At 42.3% G+C, this 19,119-nt stretch overlaps 1 protein-coding gene across 1 annotated transcript in view; it reads right to left on the bottom strand.

Moving 5' to 3' along the window:
* The window catches only part of CBL (Cbl proto-oncogene), a 101,811-nt gene that overhangs the window by 74,309 nt on the left and 8,383 nt on the right, over nt 1-19,119 (bottom strand). The window contains exon 2 of the mRNA NM_005188.4: nt 1,146-1,393. Within this exon, the coding sequence (NP_005179.2) occupies nt 1,146-1,393 (248 nt within the window). The remainder of the gene's footprint in view (nt 1-1,145; nt 1,394-19,119) is intronic.

Genomic DNA, 19,119 nt, shown 5'->3' with positions numbered 1-19,119 from the left:
CAACAAGGACACCATTTAGTATGTTACTGCTAGAGTCATGCATGGTAACCAGATGACTTCAGAAATACTGTTCCTTCTAATTCAAGTCACTACTCAAGAATAATTTACTCACTAAAAAATTCTAGTGGAATTATTTTATTACTCATTCTAGATGAGTTAATATTTAGTTCAAATTGAACAAAATAAAACACAATTACATCCACACATACAGTTAACTTATTTCTCTCCCAGTATGTAATTTACGACAGCTAAGCTAACAATATGCAGGATAGCCTATAGTTTCTGGTATTTAATTAACACAAAAGAGGGCCAGGCGTGATGGCTCACATCTGTAATCCCAGCACCTTGTGAGGCCAAAGCGGGCAGATCACCTGAAGTCAGGAGTTCGAGACCAGCCTGGCCAAGATGGTGAAACCCCATCTCTACTAAAAACACAAAAATTAATCAGGCATGGTGGTGCACATCTATAATCCCAGCTAGTCAGGAGGCTGAGACAGGAGAATCACTTGAACCTGGAGGCTGAGATCGCACCACTGCACTCCAGCCTGGGCGACAGAGCCAGACTCTGTCTCAAAAAAATAATAATAAAATTAATATAAAAGAATACATAGTGATCCTTCAAATATTTATTGAATTAACTGCATTCACCTCTACCTATTTTATTTGAAAAGTTACTTTTACCTATAAAGAAAATGTCATTTCACTTTGCTTCATGTTTTAAAAAGTTAAACTAGTGGCTTTTTCCCCTATTATCCCACATATAAATTTACCTAATATGCTACAGCTTTTGGCAAGATCGGCCTCTTATTTACTCCCAAACTCCACTTAACCCCAGTCTTCTTTCTTCCAAACTCCCACCTGCCCACAAACTTTCATGATCTTCAGGTTCTCCAAAGGACCTACTGCCTCCAACTCATTTTCATTACTATCAGTAAATGATTTTTCAGAGGTAAGCAAATCAATCAGAGTTAGGGATAGTACAACGTCATCCATGGCAACCTTTTATATAAACTATACCTTTAAATCAAATGTCAACTTTCCATTCCTACTAACATAAAATTAAAACCAACTCAACTACTTCTATGTGTTACCCATTCAGGCAGTCACAGACCTGCATAATTATTTGTGTAGTATTTCTCCATTACCTAGGCTGAGAATTCTCCTCATACATTCTTTCTTTTCCCTCCTTGAAGAGGCTTATGGTTTGCTTAGTTTTCTTCATCAAATTCTCCATAAACACCCTAAAATACTCATTTTCTCCAAGTGTCTCCATCTTCCCCTCATATCTTGACAAGATAGTACGGAGATGCTGGTAGGTATCTGGTAGCAGGTCTAAGATATAAGGTGGGCTATTCTTTAGCGCCAGCTTTGGGTTCTGACACAACCGCACCACCTGCAACAAATGAAAAAGAAGGGCTATTACTTGGAGAATTTTAAGGACAGCTCCCTTTTTTAAGTTTAAGAAAGTTATGAAATATGTGCTCTTTTGCAAAATATGAAAAATACATGAGAATATAAGAAGCAGATCCATAACCCCATTGCCCACAGGCAACCATTTTAAAATTTTTAGTGGTCCCCCAGAAGAATGTGTTTTTAAATCCGTTTGAGAGACTAATGGTACAGATAACACACAGAACAAACAACTAGGGGAAAACATCCACATAAATCCCTAAAACATGCTAGATGAAATATGGCAAATTACTTTTAAATATACTGCTGATCCCCACAATATTTTTATTTATTTATTTATTTTTTAGGGTCTCACGGTTGGAGTGGAGTGGAGCAACCACGACTCAGTGCAGCCTCAAACCCCCAGATTCAGGTGATCCTCCCACTTCAGCCTCCTGGGTAGCTGGGACTACGGCCATGCATAACCACACCCAGCTAATTGTTGTTTTTTTTTTTTTTAGAGACATGTTGCCCAGGCTAGACCCAAACTCCTGAGCTCAAACGATGCCACCTGCCTCAGCCTCCCAAAACACTGGGATTACAGCCCTGAGCCACTGTGTCCAGCCTGACCCCTATAATAAACTAAAGAAAATTCCCAGGGACAGAAATAAAGGACATGACTGCCCTGGGAGGTAAATCTCTGTACTCTAGGGTCTTGAGCTTTGTTTGTTTGTTTGTTTTTTGAGACAGAGTTTCACTCTTCTTGCCCAGGCTAGAGTGCAATGGTGTGATCTTGGCTCACCGCAACCTCCGCCTCCCGGGTTCAAGCGATTCTCCTGCCTCAGCCTCCTGAGTAGCTGGGATTATAGGCATGCACCACCATGCCCGGCTAATTTTGTATTTTTGGTAGAGACAGGGTTTCTCCATGTTGGTCAGCCTGGTCTCAAACTCCTGACCTCATGATCCACTGGCCTCAGCCTCCCAAAGTGCTGGGATTACAGCACTTTGCTGGGATTACAGGCCCTTTGTTTGTTTTTTGTTTTTGAGATGGAGTTTTGCTCTTTTTGCCCAGGCTAGAGTGCAATGGTGCAATCTCAGCTCACTGCAGCTGCTGCCTCCCAGGTTCAAGCAATTCTCCTATCTCATTCAGCCTCCCAAGTAGCTGGGATTACAGGCGGCCACCATCACACCCAGCTAATTTTCATATTTTTAGTAGAGATGGGGTTTCGCCATGTTGGCCAGGCTGGTCTCGAATGCCTGACCTTAGGTGATCTGCCAGCCTCAGCCTTCCAAAGTGCTGGGATTACAGGCATGAGCCACCGCACCCAACCTGGGGTTTGAGTTTTAACAACCGCTTGAGGAACAGGAACAGAGAGGCCTTGGACCCAGTAAAGCATAGAGCTGAGAGTCCTACATTTGGACTCTCAGAATTTGCCTGGCAATTCTTTGTACCATCTTTCACTTTCAACTTTTCTGAGTTATGTTTTAAGTGTTTCTTTTAAAGATCATATAGATAGAATTTAAAAATCCAATGTAACAATCATTGTTTTCTAACTGGTAAGTTTAGTCCATTTTGTGTTTGTCATACAAATAAATTTGGATTTATTCCTAACAACTTGTTTGTGCTTTCTATTTACATGGACTTTTCTGTGGACAAACTAGTGGAACAGAAAGTCCAGAAACAGACTCACACATGCACACAAGGAAATTCAGTATCAGCGGTGACATTACAAATCAAGAATACAAAAGAAAAACTATTGAAAACTTTGTTATCCATATGAGAAAAAATAAAACTAGATCCCTTACACATTACATGAAAATAAATTTCTCACAGCTCTCCTCAACTTCCCAAATTTGGCATAATTTCTCACTGTCTTGATAACAATTCTATGTCTTCTAAGTTTTCTTGCTATTAGCAGTATATTTGGTTCAAAACAACCTAAGCTAACATTAATGGAAGCATAAGCCTGACATTCTCGTTTTTATTTCACATTTAAAAATACCTATTTTCAGGCCGGGCGCGGTGGCTCACGCTTGTAATCCCAGCACTTTGGGAGGCTGAGGCGGGCGGATCACGAGGTCAGGAGATCCAGACCACGGTGAAACCCCGTCTCTACTAAAAATACTAAAAATTAGCCGGGCGTGGTGGCGGGCGCCTGTAGTCCCAGCTACTCGGAGAGGCTGAGGCAGGAGAATGGTGTGAACCCAGGAGGCGGAGCTTGCAGTGAGCCGAGATCGCGCCACTGCACTCCAGCCTGGGTGACAGAGCAAGACTCCGTCTCAAAAAAAAAAACAAAAAACAAAAACCTATTTTCTTGTGTCACCGAAAGCTCATTATAAACTTTTTTGAGATATTTAAATAATTCTAGTCTATGGATAGACAATAACATATCTTAACCATCTCCCCCCAACTTTAACATTTCTTTTGTTTTCAAGTCTTTACTACTGCAACATCACAGTGATGAACGTGCTTGGATATTTCATTCTTCTATACATCAGATTATTTCCTTAGGATAAATTCCTGTTTAATGACTAATGATCAAGAATTCTTCAAAAATTAGCCGGACATGGTGGCACATGCCTGTAATTCCAGCTACTCGGGAGGCTGAGGCAGGAGAATCACTTGAACCCAGGAGGTGGAAGTTGCAGTGAGCCAAGACCATGCCACTGCCCTCCAGCCTGGGCCACAGCAAGATTCTGGTCTCAAGAAAAAAAAAAAACAAAACACAACTCTTCAAATGATAATATGAAAATTGTAAAACTAAATACATCATTCTCAATACAACATTTCTTGAACTCTTGTTTTCTTAAGTTTTTGTTTTTTGTTGTTGTTGTTGTTGTTTTTGAGAAAAAGACTCCCTCTGTCTCTCAGGCTGGAGCTCAATCATAGCTCACCACAACCTCGAACTCCTGGATTCAAGCAACCCTCCTGCCTAAACTGCCTGAATAGCCGGGATTAAAGGCTCATGCCACCACATCCAGCTAGCCCCATATATAAGCCTAGCAAACAAAGACAAGCTGAATCAACAAAAACATTTGGTTCATGAATATTTTCACAGCATTTTAGAAAGCTCTTCATTCTTATCAAGTGTTCAAGTCAAAAGGGAAGAACATGGCCAGGGAAAAAAGACTCCACCTCGGAAGATAACTATATTCTAAGTACAACAGAGTTAATAACTCATATTAATAAAACAAATACAGACAGTTCCCAGTTTACAAGTGCTACATTCCAAAAGTAAGTCAGGTATTTATAAACAGACTACATTTCACAACAAAAATATTAAAATTGTAGTTTCCTATGTTAGTCTGTGGAAGGAAGTGGGGAAGACCGACACTGTAACTAGAGATTAAGATCTAGCAAAAACTGAAAACTAAACATGCTTTATATTAAGAAAGATCCAGAAGAGAAAAGGAGATAAGTGACAACTGGCCAACATGGTGAAACCCTGTCTCTACTAAAAAATACAAAAAAAATTAGCCAGGCATGGTGGCAGGCACCTGTAATCCCGGCTACTTGGGAGGCTGAGGCAGGAGAATCACTTGAACCCGGGAAGCAAAGTTTGCAGTGAGCCAAGACCACGCCACTGCACTCCAGCCTGGGGGACAAGAGCGAAACCACGTCTCCAAAAAAAAAAAAGAGAGAGAGAGAGAGAAGGAATTAGCTAGGAGTGGTGGTGGTGTGGGTGTAAGTCTCAGCTACTCCAGAGGTTGAAGCAGAAGGATTGCTTGAGTGAGTCCAAGAGTCTGAGGCTGCAGTGTACTATGATCATGCCTGTGAACAGCCACTGCACTCCAGCCTGGGCCACATGGCAAGACCTTGTCCCTATTTCCTTTTTTTTTTTTTTGAGATGGAGTTTTGCTCTTGTCGCTCAGGCTGGAGTGCAATGGTGCGATCTCAGCTCACTGCAACCTCCGCTTCCCAGGTTCAAGTGATTCTTCTGGCTCAGCCTCCCAAGTAGCTGGGATTACTGGCATGCGCCACCATGCCCGGCTAATTTTTGTATTTTTAGTAGAGACAGGGTTTCACCATGTTGGCCAGGCTGGTCTCAAACTCCTGAACTCTGGTGATCCGCCCACCTCGACCTCCCAAAATGCTTTGTGTCTATTTCTAAAAAATTAAAATTCAGCCTGGACAACATTGCAAAACCCCATCTCTACAAAAACATATAAAAAAACATTAAGTAGACATGGTGGTGGGCACCTGTGGTCCCAGTCACTCAGGAGGCTGAGGTGGGAGGGCCGCTTGAGGCGGAGGTTGCAGTCAGCCAAGATCACACCACCATATTCTAGCCTGGGCAACGGAATGAGACTCTATCTCAAAAAAAAGAGAATACATTAAAATACATATATTTTAAAAGAAGAGGACGCCTCCTAGAATAGGAAAAAAAAAAAAGAGTGAGCATAGGTTCAGACAGAGACCAATTTGTACATATGGAGGCTGTAAGTTAAAGGTTGTACCAGTTTTTATTTTTCTCAACATATTCATTCAACAAATATGTGTCAGGCACAGGGACACAGAAGTAAAAAGACAAGGTATCTGAATGTGAGAGGAATCAAGCAATAAAACAATAAAAATGAATTCAACAAGAAAATTATAAGGTTTGCGGGGCGCGGTGGCTCACGCCTGTAATCCCAGCACTTTGGGAGGCCAAGGCAGGTGGATCACCTGAGGTCAGGAGTTCGACACCAGCCTGACCAACATGGAGAAATCCTGTCTGGAATAAAAATACAAAATTAGCCAGGCGTGGTGGCCCATGCCTGTAATCCCAGCTACTTGGGAGGCTGAGGCAGGAGAATTGCTTGAACCCGGGAGGCAGAGGTTGCGTTGAGCCAAGATCGCACCATTGCACTCCAGCCTGGGCAACAAGAGCAAAACTCCGTCATAAAAAAAAAAAAAAGAAAATTATAAGGTTCACTATAGAATTAAAATAGGCTAATATGATAAGAAAGTGCTGGGTGACTAGTAGATAAGGCTTTTCTGATGCGACATTGAGGCTAAGAGTTGAAATTAGAGAAAAAAGCCAGCTACAGCAGAAGAGTAGCCCAAAAAGAGCGAACAACTACAGATGTTCCTCAATTTACAATGGAGTTACATTCCAATAAACCTATCCTAAGTTGAAGGTATCATAAGTCAATAGTATATTTAATATACTTAGCCTACCAAACATCATAGCTTAGCTAGCCTACCTTAAACATGTTCATAACACAGTAGCCTAGAGTTGGGCAAAATCATCTTAACACAAAGCCTACTACTTTATTATAAAGTGCTGAATAACTGATGTAATTTATTGAATACTGTACTAAAAGTGAAAACAGAATGGCAGAATGGTTATATGGATATTCAAAGCGCAGTTTCCACTGAATAGCTATCACTTTTGCACCATCATAAAGTCGAAAAATCCCAAATCAAACCACCGTACCATCAAACCATTGTACTTCAATGGTCTTAAAGTGGTAAGTGGTTGAGATTTGTTTGAAGAATAGAAAGGTCAGTGAGATTAAAGCATAGTGAACAAGGTGGAGAAGGTAATGAGAGAGATTTGTGGAACAGGTAAGGAAGTCACCAAAGAGACATTATGCTAAAGCCTAAGCTATAAGTTTTTAAGTTTTCAATTAAATTTTTAAAGGACTAAATAACATTTTAGTACTTTGACCAGATTGAATCAAATAGCCATATCAAAATGTCTTGCTTCAGGCGGGGCGTGGTGGCTCATGCCTGTAATCCCAGCACTTTGGGAGGCTGAGGTAGGCAGATCACTTGAGGTCAGGAGTTCAAGACCAGCCTGGCCAACATGGTGAAATTCCGTCTCTATGAAAAATGCGAAAATCAGCCAGGCATGGTGGCACACACCTGGAGTCCCAGCTACTCAGGAGGCTGAGGCAAGAGAATTGCTTGAACCCAGAAGGAGGAGGTTGCAGTGAGCTGAGACATGCCACAGACCCCATCTCAAAAAAAAAAATGTCCTGTTTCAGTCATTTAAGTTGAGTAAATTTCTTAACCTCTGAGCCTTAGTTCTTTTAACCACAAAATCAAAGATAATGCCTCATAATAAAATTTGCATAAAAGGATTGCACAGTTTCCAAAAAAATCGCATTCAATAAATGTTAGCTCCCCTTCTCATTTCCACACCATCTGAGTGGCTTATATGCAGGGGAGGCAAGAATTACCTACTAAAGACAGAATAGTGGACCTCATATCACCCTTTGATGATTCCCAGAACCTGGTAGCATTAGTCCTATCATTTGGGCCCATAACACAACTACTGTCCCAGTCCTGCATGGTCTCTGGTAACCAAGAAATAGAGAAAAGGCAGCAGCAGGTAACACAAGAATTGGGTGACCAACAATCTGCAAAAGCTACAGAATCCAGCCCTTAAAAGGTTCAAACCAAGTACCAAGTACAGCTCCCAATGAAAATATTTAGGCCAGATGCGGTGGCTCATGCCTGTAATCCCAGCACTTTGGGAGGCCAAGGCAGGTGGATTACCTGAGGTCAGGAGTTTGAGACCAGCCTGGCCGACATGGTGAAACCCCGTCTCTACTAAAAACACAAAAAATTAGCCAAGCGTGGTGGCACATGCCGGTAATCCTAGCTACTCGGGAGGCTGAGGCAGAAGAATCGGTTGAACCCGGGAGGCGGAGGTTGCAGCGAGCTGAGGTAGCACCTTTGCACTCTAGCATGGGCAACAAGAACGAAACTCTGTCTCAAAAAAAAAAAAAAAAAAAAGAAAATATTTATATTGGCTGGATACGGTGTCTTACATCTGTAATCCCAGAACCTTGGGAGCTGAAGCTGACGCTGAGGTGGGCAGATCGCTTGAGCCTAGGAGTTCAAGACTAGCCTGGACAACATGGCAAAACCCTATCTCTACAAAAAATACCAAAAATTAACTGGATGTGGTGCACATGCCTGTAGTCCCAACTACTTGGGATGCTGAGGTGAAAAGATCAATTGAGCCTAGGAGGCTGAGGCTGCAGTGAACCAAGACTGCATCACCACACTCCAGCCTGTAGGACAGAATGAGACCCTGTCTCCAAACAAAAACAAAACATAAGGCCAGGCACAGTAACTCACACCTGTAATCCCAGCACTTTGGGAGGCCAAGGCGGGAGAATCACCTGACGTCAGGAGTTGGAGACCAGCCTGACCAACATGATGAAACCCCGTTTCTACTAAAAATACAAAAATTAGCCAGGCATGGTGGCATGCACCTGTAGTCCCAGCTACTGGGGAGGCTGAGACAGGAGAATTGCATGAACCCGGGAGGTGGAGGTTGCAGTGAGCCGAGATCACGCCACTGCACTCATAGCCTGGGCAACAGAGCAAGACTCTGTCTCAAATAAATAAATAAATACATGCATACATACAAGCGCGCGCACACACACACACACACACACACACCCCAAAGAGTTTAGGATAAAACGGAGTACTTGCCTAATACCTCTGAAAAAAAGGTATACAGTTGACCCTTCAACAACATGGGTTTGAAAGCGTGGGTCTGCTTATACGAAGTTCTTTTTCAATAAAAGTTATACCAAGTGTGCCTGCCCCCTTGCCTCCCGCTCCACCTCTTCTATTTATTCCATCTCTGCCACCCGAGACAGCAGCCAACCCCTCCTCCTCCTACTCAACATGAAGACAAAGAGGATGAAGATCCACTTCCACTTAATGAATCGTAAATATTTTATCCTCCTTATGATTTTTTCAATGTTTTCTTCTGTAATCCCAGCTACTCAGGAGGCTGACGCAGGAGAATCGCTTGAACCCGGGAGGCAGAGGTTGCAGTGAGCCAAGGTCACGCCACTGCACTCCAGCCTGGCGACAGAGCAAGACTCCATCTCAAACAAACAAAAAATACAAAAAATAATGTTTTCTTTAATCTGGCTTACTTTATTGTAAGAACACATGATATAATACATGTATGTACAAAATAACATGTTAATAAGCTGTTTTATGTTATCAGTAAGGCTTCTGGTCAACAGTAGGCTATTACTGGTTAACTTTTGGCAGGGAGTCAAAAGTTATGTGTGACTTTCAATGGGGGGCAGTGGCTGGAGGTAATGAGGGGGACAGGGACTGAGGTGGATGGGACGTGGGGTGGTCTGTGCCCCTAACCTCCTAGCTGTTCTAGGGTCAACCACACATCCCTTCAACAACAACAAAAAACTAAACTAAAACCTGTATCATATGCAATCAATAAATGTTCATGACAATGTATCAGCCCTCACAATGTAACACAAAATGTTTCCAAAACATTTCATGAATTAGTATTTTTAAACTAGTACCATGTCCCCTCCACAAGTGTTATTTGTCCTTCTTTAGCATGTCACCTCTTAAAGTTCATTTGTATACTAAATGTCTGGTTTTCTCAAGATCTTTTGAAAATGAATCATCATGACCAGGGAAATCAGCACTGCACTAACTCTTAAGTCTTCAACTATGGAACACTAACACAGACCTCAAAGAATATACAGGTAGGTACTCTTTTTTCTTCATCTTTTAAGAGATAGAGTCTCAAAAAAAAATTGCCAGGGGCATTGGCTCACACCTGTAATCCCAGCACTTCGGGAGGCTGCAGTGGGCAGATCATGAGGTCAGGAGATCGAGACCAGCCTGGCCAACATGGTGAAACCCCATCTCTACAAAAAATACAAAAATTAGCTGAGTGTGGTGGCACGTGCCTGTAATCCCAGCTACTCGGGAGGCTGAGACAGGAGAATCACTTGAACCTGGGAGGCAGAGGTTGCAGTGAGCTGAGATCACGCCACTGCACTCCAGCCTGGCAACAGAGAGAGAGAGACGCTGTCTCAAAATAAATAAATAATAAAATAAATAAATAATAATAAAAAAAAATTTAGCCGGGCGTGGTGGCGGGCGCCTGTAGTCCCAGCTACTTGGGAGGCTGAGACAGGAGAATTGCTTGAACCTGGGAGATGGAGTTTGCAGTGAGCAGAGATCAGGCCACTGCACTCCGGTGTGGGTGACAGAGCGAGACTCTGTCTTAAAATAAAATAACATAACATAATAACATAACATAACATAACATAATTCAAAATAAAATATAAAACAAAACAAAATAAAATAAAGTAAAATAAAATAAAAACCAAAAATTTTAAAAAGGCCAGGCATGGTGGCTCATGTCTGTAATCCCAGCACTTTGAAAGGCTGAGACGGGAGGATGGCTTGAACCTAGGAGTTTGAGACCAGCTGGGCAAGATGGCAAGATCTGTCTCTTTAAAAAAAAAAAAAAAAAAAAAAAAAAAAAAGGAAGGGTGTGGGGTGGTTTGCTCTGTCACCCAGGCTGGAGCACAGTGGCATGATCATACCTCAAATGCTTTGAACTCCTGGACTCAAGAGACATTCCCAACTAGACCTCCCAAGTAGCCGGGACTACAGGTACACGCCACCACACCTGGATAATTTTTTAAACTATTTTTTGCAGCGATAGGGCCTCACTATGTTACCCAGGCTGGTCTCAAACTCCTGGCCTCAAGTTATCCTGCCTCCTGGCATCCCAAAATGCTGGGATTATATACAGGCAAGAGCCACCACGCCTGGCCATGCTCTTGATACTCTCGATATTAATATTCTTTGGAAAGGAAAAAAAGTCCTTATTATGTATAACCTCTTTTAAAAAATGGTTCCTAAAGGCCCTGTGTGAATAATTCAAGTCAATAGTTAACAAACATCAAAAACCCAAACAATCTGCCTATATTATTTAGTGAATTTTAAACTGGCAGTCATAGTTAACCTTCAAAAAACAAACATGAACCAAAAAACAAAAATTCACCAAAAAATTTCTAAAAGATACAAATATTTTCCTGCTTAGTCTGTCCTCCATTTGGCTAACTTTATTTTGCATTCCAAATCCTGCAGTGGCAAAAATGGCTGCCTTTTGTTTACTTCTGCCTGTACATTTACAGCATCACTCAGAACAATGTTAAAAAGAAACGTGCTTAGCTCCGGGAAACCAACAGTATCCTTGTACAGCTGCCATGCACTCCATTCATAATAGCTTTCTCACTGGCCTAGCTCCTCCCTTTGCTTCTGCCAAGACTCAATGGTCAATAGAAAAAATTTGGAAAGTGTTATGATCACAATAAAGAGGAATAAAACTATGCTTGAAAATTGCTAAACTTTTAAAGAGCAAAAAGTTATAGAGAACAACAATGCCTAAGCCTAATGCTGTTGTGAATACAGAATCTTTTCTAACACTAAGGAATCTGTGTTTCTAATTAGGCAGAAAACCATACACATGTAAGACTAAAATAAATATTTTTATCTCTAAAGACTCCAACTTATTGATACAAGCATTTCTCATTTTCAATGTTTTCCCATGTTAAAAATGAATAGTTTTATGCTACAAAAACAAGTATTCAATATGTGGAGCTATACATGTAAAATGTCATTATAATTTAAAAGGATGAATATTAACCTCCTGTCAAGAAGAGAGGAGGATACTAGAGCACAAGTCCAGAGACCTGGGCTCTAGTCTGGTGACTGACATTAACTGGCTATACAACCTCAAGCAAGTTATTTGCCCTTCCGGGTCTCTGTAAATGAAAGAGTTAGATCAATTTATTTCTAAAGTCTCTTAAAGCTTCAAATTTTAAAAACTCCATCTCAGAAACTTGAAGAAGTTTAACAGGTATAAATATATAGTGAAGCTTTTTTTTTTTTTTTTGAGACGGAGTCTCTCTCTGTTGCCCAGGCTGGAGTGCAGTGGCGCGACTTGGCTCACTGCAACCTCCGCCTCCCGGGTTCAAGCAATTCTCCTGCCTCAGCCTCCCAAGTAACCGAAATTACAGGCATGCGCCACCACGCCTGGCTAATTTTTTTGTATTTTTAGTAGAGAGGGGGTTTCACCATATTGGTCAGGCTGGTCTCGAATTCCTGACCTCGCGATCCATCCACCTTGGCCTCCCAAAGTGCTGGGATTATAGACGTGAGCCACTGTGCCCAGCTTATAGTGAAGCTTTTTTAAACGAAAACTCATGACTGTTTTTCAAAGACAAATCAGAAACCCATCCTTTTTTGTTTTTGGTTTAATTTTTAAATAAAAATAGAGATGGGGTCTCACTATGTTGCCTAGACTGGTCTTGAACTCCTAGGCTCAAGCAATCCGCCCACCTCAACCTCGCAAAGTGCTGGCATTACAGGATGTGCCACGGTGCCCAGCCGGAAACCTATACTTTTTTTTTTTTTTCTGAGATGGAGTCTCGCTCTGTCACCCAGGCTGGAATGCAGTGGTGTGATGTCAGCTCACTGCAGCCTCCACCTCCCAGGTTCAAGCAATTCTCTGCCTCAGTCTCCCAAGTAGCAGAGACTACAGGCGCGCACTACCACGCCCGGCTAATTTTTGTATTTTTAGTAGAGACGGGGTTTCACATGTTGAACAAGCTGGTCTCGAACTCCTGGCCTCAAATGATCGCCCACCCCGGCCTCCCAAAGTGCTGGGATTACAGGCGTAAGCCACTGCATCCGGCCACCTATACTTTTTTTTAACAAACATATTTTAAAGTCAACTGATCACAGGAAAAAAAAAAGTGTCATCACTAGACAATAGCCCCATCATTAGACAATAATTTGAAAAACGCCTTACTTGTAATTATTATTCTCAATTTTTGATTTCTCAAAACTCCATTCAGGTTCTTGAATTGTAGTTACTACAGTATACTTCTCAAATATCACCCAACAGCACTTATTAAAAACACCATGCCACTTATAATTCATTACCAATCTCATTACTTTCACCTACCACATCAACTGCAGAAAAAATACATTCAATACAATGTATGCTCTGAAAACTTAACCATGCAGTTTTTATATATGGATTTTATTTTTATTTTTTTGAAACAGGGTCTCACTCTGTCGCCCACATTGGAGTGCAGTGGCGTCATCACAGCTCACTTCAGCCTCGACCTGCTAGGCTCAAGTGATGCTCCTCCCTCAGCCTCCCCAGTAGCTGGGACTACAGGCATGTGCCACACCTGGCTAATATTTTTTTAGACACAGGGTCTTGCTATGTTATCCAGGCTGGTCTTAAATTCCTGACCTCAAGTGATTCTCCCACCATAATCTCTCAAAGTGCTGGGATTACAGGAATGAGCCACTGCACCCAGCCAGTTCTACTTTTAAAAGGCAAAAATGGGCCAGGTGCAGTGGCTCACACCTGTAATACCAACACTTTGGGAGGCTGAGGTGGGCGGATCACCTGAGGTCAGGAGTTCAAGACCAGCCTGCCCAACATGGTGAAACCCCATCTCTACTAAATATACAAAAATTAGCCAGGCATGGCCGGGTGCAGTGGCTCACACCTGTAATCCCTACGCTTTGGGAGGCCAAGGTGGGTGGATCACAAGGTCACAAGGTCAGGAGTTCGAGACCAGCCTGGCCAACATGGTGAAACCCCGCCTCTACTAAAAATACAAAAATTAGCCGGGCGTGGTGGCGCACACCTGTAATCCCAGCTACTCGGGTGGCTGAGGCAGGAGAATGGCTTGAACCCGGGAGGCGGAGGTTGCAGTGAGCCGAGATCACGCCACTGCACTACAGCCTGGGTGACAGAGCAAGACTCCGTCTCAAAAAAAAAAAAAAAAAATAGTCGGGCGTGGTGGTGCCCACCTATAATCCCAGCTACTTGGGAGGCTGAGGCAGGAGAATCACTTGAACCCAGGAGGCAGAGGTTGCAGTGAGCTGAAATCGCACCACTGCACTCCATCCTGGACAACAGAGTAAGACTCTGTCTCAAAATAAAAAAAAAAAAAAAGGCAAAAATGGTTCTTTGTCCAGAGTTATCGATGCAACTTCAAACCAAATACTTAGTATGAACTAGAGATTACAGTGGTCCCCCTTTATCTTAGGGGGATGCATTCCAAGACCCTCAGTGGTTGCCTCAAACCAAGGATAATACCAAACCCAATTGCACCAATCAGAAAACGTTTCTGTGCATGTCTTCCATCCACAAATTTAACACCTTCTCCATCTTAATGAAGCACTTATCATATACCAGGGCCATGAAGTATGACAGCAAGCCTAGTATGATTTCTTTCTTTCTTTCTTTTTTTTTTTTTTGAGACAGAGTCTCACTCTGTGCCCAGGCTGGAGTGCAATGACACTATCTCGGCTCACTGCCACCTCTGCCTCCTGGGTTCAAGCAATTCTCCTTAGCCTCCTCCCACGTAGATGGGATTACAGGAGCCCGCCTCCATACCTGGCTAATTTTTGTATTTTTTAGTAGAGACAGGGTATCACCATGTTGGCCAGGCTGGTCTCCAACTTCTGACCTCAAGTGATCCACCAGCCTCAGCCTCCCTCAGTGCTGAGATTTCAGGTGTAAGCCACCACGCCCGGCCCTAGTATAAATTTCTTTTTGCTTCTTCAAAATTTTTTTTTAAAATAAAGAAGGGTTTCACCACATGCCCAGGGTGGTCTCGAACTCCTGGACACAAGTGATACACCCACCTTAGCCTCCCAAAGTGCTGGGATTACAGGCATGAGCCATTGAGCCCAGACCTTTCTTCAGAATTTCATGAGTAGAAGATTCATTCTTACTGTACATCTTAGTAACCTCGGAATATGAGTTTTTTCTTTTCTTAACAGCTTTCACCTGTTCACTTAAAGAAGGCATTTTCTGGCTTTTCTTTGGATATTTAAAATGCCGACATCATTACTCTTATGCTTTGAGGGTCATTAAGCAAAATAAGGGTGACTCAAATACAGGCACTGCAAGACTGCCAACAGTTGATCTAAGAATCAAGATGACTACTAGGTGACTAACCGGTGGGTAGTGTAGACGGTGTAGATACACTACTATATCCACAGTATGTATCTACACTGCATAAAGGGATGATTCATGCCCAGGACAGAAGCAGCGTAAGATTGCAAGATTTCACCTCGTTACTCAGAACAGCATACAATTTAAAACTTATGGATTATTTCTGGAATTTTCCATTTAATATTTTCAGACCACAGGTAACTGAAACAGCAGGAAGCGAAACTATGGATATGAAGGGACTACTGTAAATGTTTTAGTATCACTTTTAGATGCCATACACTAATTAAGACACAATTGTGGATGAGGGTATTACAGAAGAGCCTGACTGGTCTAAAGTTCCTCCCCATCCCCTTTTTGTCTCCTCAGAGATTAATGGTTTGCCTCATGAGCCCCAGTGACTCTATAGCATAGAGGGTTCCCAGAGCCCTCTACATACCTTCAGTTGTATCACACAAATTGTAAGTGTGAGTGCCGGGTCATCTTTAACTCCCCAGCAACTACTACATTTATGTTAAGTGGGACTGTGGAAAAGTGTCAACATAATTTTCACTTGAGGTAACTAAGAATCAGCTGTTTCTTTTCCTTTTTCCTTTCCTTTATTTAGAGACAGGGTCTCACTCTGTTGCCCAAGCTGATGCACAGTAGCAGGATCATAGCTCACTGCAGCCTCAAACTCCTGGGTGATCTTCCCACCTCAGCCTCCTGAGTATCTGGGACTAAAGGAACTCACCACCACGGCCAACTAATTTTTTTATTTTTTATTTTGTAGAGATGGGGTTCTAACTACATCGACTAGGCTGGTCTTGAACTCTTGGCTTCAAGCAATCTTCCTGCCTCGGCCTCTCAAAGTGCTGGGATTACAGGTGTGAGCCACCACACCCAGCCAAAAATTTGTATTTTAAAGTAAGTATTACCTTCATAGTTGAAGAACATCATAATTAAAATCTTAAATAAGATGCCCAACTTCCATTTATTTAAAAAAAAAATCCGCCAAGCTTATCCAAAATAAAAGCAACTGTGGCATACAGCCTTCCTATATCAAGTCTGGTACCTGGGTCTGCTGCAATGACATCTCCTGAGAGCTGATTAGGAATGCAAAATCTCTCAGGCCCCACTCCAGACCTATTCAAAGTCAGTATTTTAACAAGATCCCCTGAATTGATCTGAATTCATGATAAAATCTGAGAAGTACTGGTTTATAAGAAATTACTTGACACAGTCTGAACATCAGTTCAAGATCCACATAAAAAACAAAAATATGGGCTGCACGTGGTAGCTCACGCCTGTAATCCCAGCACTTTGGGAGGCCAAGGCAGGCAGATCACCTGAGGTCAGCAGTTCGAGACCAACCTGATCAACATGGAGAAACCCCGTCTACTAAAAATACAAAATTAGCCGGGCCTGTGGTACATGCCTGTAACCCCAGCTACTCGGGAGGCTGAGCAGGAGAATTGCTTGAACCTAGGAGGTGGAGGCTGCAGTGAGCCAATACTGCACCACTGCACTCCAGCCTGGGCAACAAGAGTGAAACTGTGTCTCAGAAAAAAAGATACGAGCTAGGTGACTTAAGTAGCTTGTTTAATCTATCTGAATCTCAGTTTAACTGTAATAAGACACATTATTTTGAGATTGAACTTATCTGCAGATGTAAAATTGTAAACTGCTCTACAATATAACAAATTATTAGTTCTTACTTGTCAGTCTTAACATGATGACATGCTGAAAAGTCAACGACTTGCTTAAGTATATAAATAATTCCAGGGCAATCAATGCTATTTCTCCAACCTTCTCGGAGTAACCGAGGATAAGACAGGTAGGGAGATGGGAGGGAATGGACCCCAAACTACACACAGTAGATACCTCTTGGGAGGGTAGTTATTTGGGGGTATGGGGGTAAAAGGAGACTTCTACATTTCGTTCTGTATCTTTTATGATTCATAAATTGTTTTTGGTTTTCTCAAAGATTGCTACAGTTATGTGCTGCTGTTTAAAATAAGTCCAAGAGGCTGGTCGCAGTGGCTCAAGCCTGTAATCCCAGCACTTTGGGAGGCCGAGGCAGGCGGATCACAAGGTCAAGAGATCGAGACCATCCTGGCCAACATGGTGAAACCCCATCTCTACTAAAAATACAAAAATTAGCTGGGCATGGTGGTGGGCACCTGTAGTCCCAGCTACAAGGGAGACTGAGGCAGGACAATCGCTTGAACCCGGGAGGCGGAGGTTGCAGTAAGCCGAGATTGCACCACTGCACTCCAGCCTGGTGACAGAGCAAGACTCCATCTCAAAAAATAAATAAATAAATAAATAAATAAATAAATAAATAAATAAATAAATTACAATAAGTCCAAGAGAGGAGGAGGGCAGGAGTTAGGATCCCATCTCCACTCAATGAAGCACCAATGAATTGGCCTCATTTTAGTCCTTCCTCCATGGCAGATCCAAGCCACAGGGAAGGCAGCAAACAGTGGTGGTTGTGAGAAGGTGCCCAGGCAGTGGAGGCTGTTACACACGACTCACTAGCCATTCCAAAGACAGCAGAGAGGGGACCCAGAGGGGCTGCTTATTTCTCGTGAGAGAACCACAGGTCCATCTATGATAGTGGCATCACATCTCCCCAGTGCTGGGATCCCCAGTGGATGTGCACCACCAGTGCCATCATTAGCACCCCCTCTCCCTCCTTGCGGAAGCTGCTGCAGGAAGGAGCACTGTGGGGACAAAGCTGACGCTGGCTTCCAGGTGCCTACTCCTACCTATATTCTTCCAGCACAAAATTTGCTAATCATGAAAATATTTCATAGTGACTTGTTAAATGCCCCTCTTCTAACAAATCTTTTTTTTTTCTTTTTTGAGACAGAGTCTAGCTCTGTCGCTCAGGCTGGAGTGCAGTGACACAAACTCAGCTCACTGTAGCCTCTATCTCCCAAGTTCAAGCAATTCTTGTGCCTCAGCCTCCCGAGTAGCTGGGATTACAGGCGCATGCCACAACCCTCGGCTTTTTTTTTTTGAGACAGTTTCACTCTTGTTGCCCAGAATGTAGTGCAATGGCGTGATCTCCGCTCACTGCAACCTCCACCCTCCCGGGCGGGTTTAAACGATTCTCCTGCCTCAGCCTCCCGAGGAGCTGGGATTACAGGCATGCACCACCAAGCCCAGCTAATTTTTGTATTTTTAGTAGAGATGAAGCTCACCATGTTGGTCAGCCTGGGCAACACAGCAAGACGCAACCTCAAAAAAAAAAAAAAAATTTAGGCTGTTTTCAAACGAATATTTAGTCCATTTTGCTCTTAGCACTCTAGGTTAATCATTAGGGAAATTACTTATCACAGTATAAATATTATTGTATGTTTGAATATAACATTGAACTCTGCTGAAGACGAAGACTCCAGGACCAATTTGACCATGATTTATCAGGTTCATTATATGTATACTGCTGGCTGAAAACATACTAAAAATAGGTTTTTCCTATATCAAGAGTCAGCAAAAACTTCAACCAAACTCACAAAACGGAGAGAGCATACAATCTTCTTCCCTGGTCTAACTCTACTTTTATTCTACATGCCTTTCAAAATCCTACTGCTGATTACATGAAATACTCAACCGGCTCATGTTTTACATTAAGGAATTATGAAGAATCTTACATCCTTTGGGTGAGCTTTTCATAGGCATAAAACACAAATCATGTTTTACAATAATTATAATACTACCTTTATAAGGTAAAACCTCTTTTAGTAAATGTTACCTTAATGAGCACTCACTAAAAAAAAAAAAAAAAAAAAAAAATTCCCTACCAGATCCCCTCAATTAATTAGACAGAAAATGAGGGACTGTGTTAAGACAAAGCCTTGGTCCTAAGGAGCTCTAATGGGCGAGAGAGAGAGATGTTAATAAACTGAAGCTAAAAGGTGAACTACAATCTAAACTATCTGATCAGAAAAAAATAAAAAATGAAGTG

Source organism: Homo sapiens, chromosome 11 (genome assembly GCF_000001405.40).
Source record: "Homo sapiens chromosome 11, GRCh38.p14 Primary Assembly".
Classification (NCBI taxonomy): Eukaryota; Metazoa; Chordata; class Mammalia; order Primates; family Hominidae; genus Homo; species Homo sapiens.
This window is presented reverse-complemented; position numbering and strand designations above follow the sequence as displayed.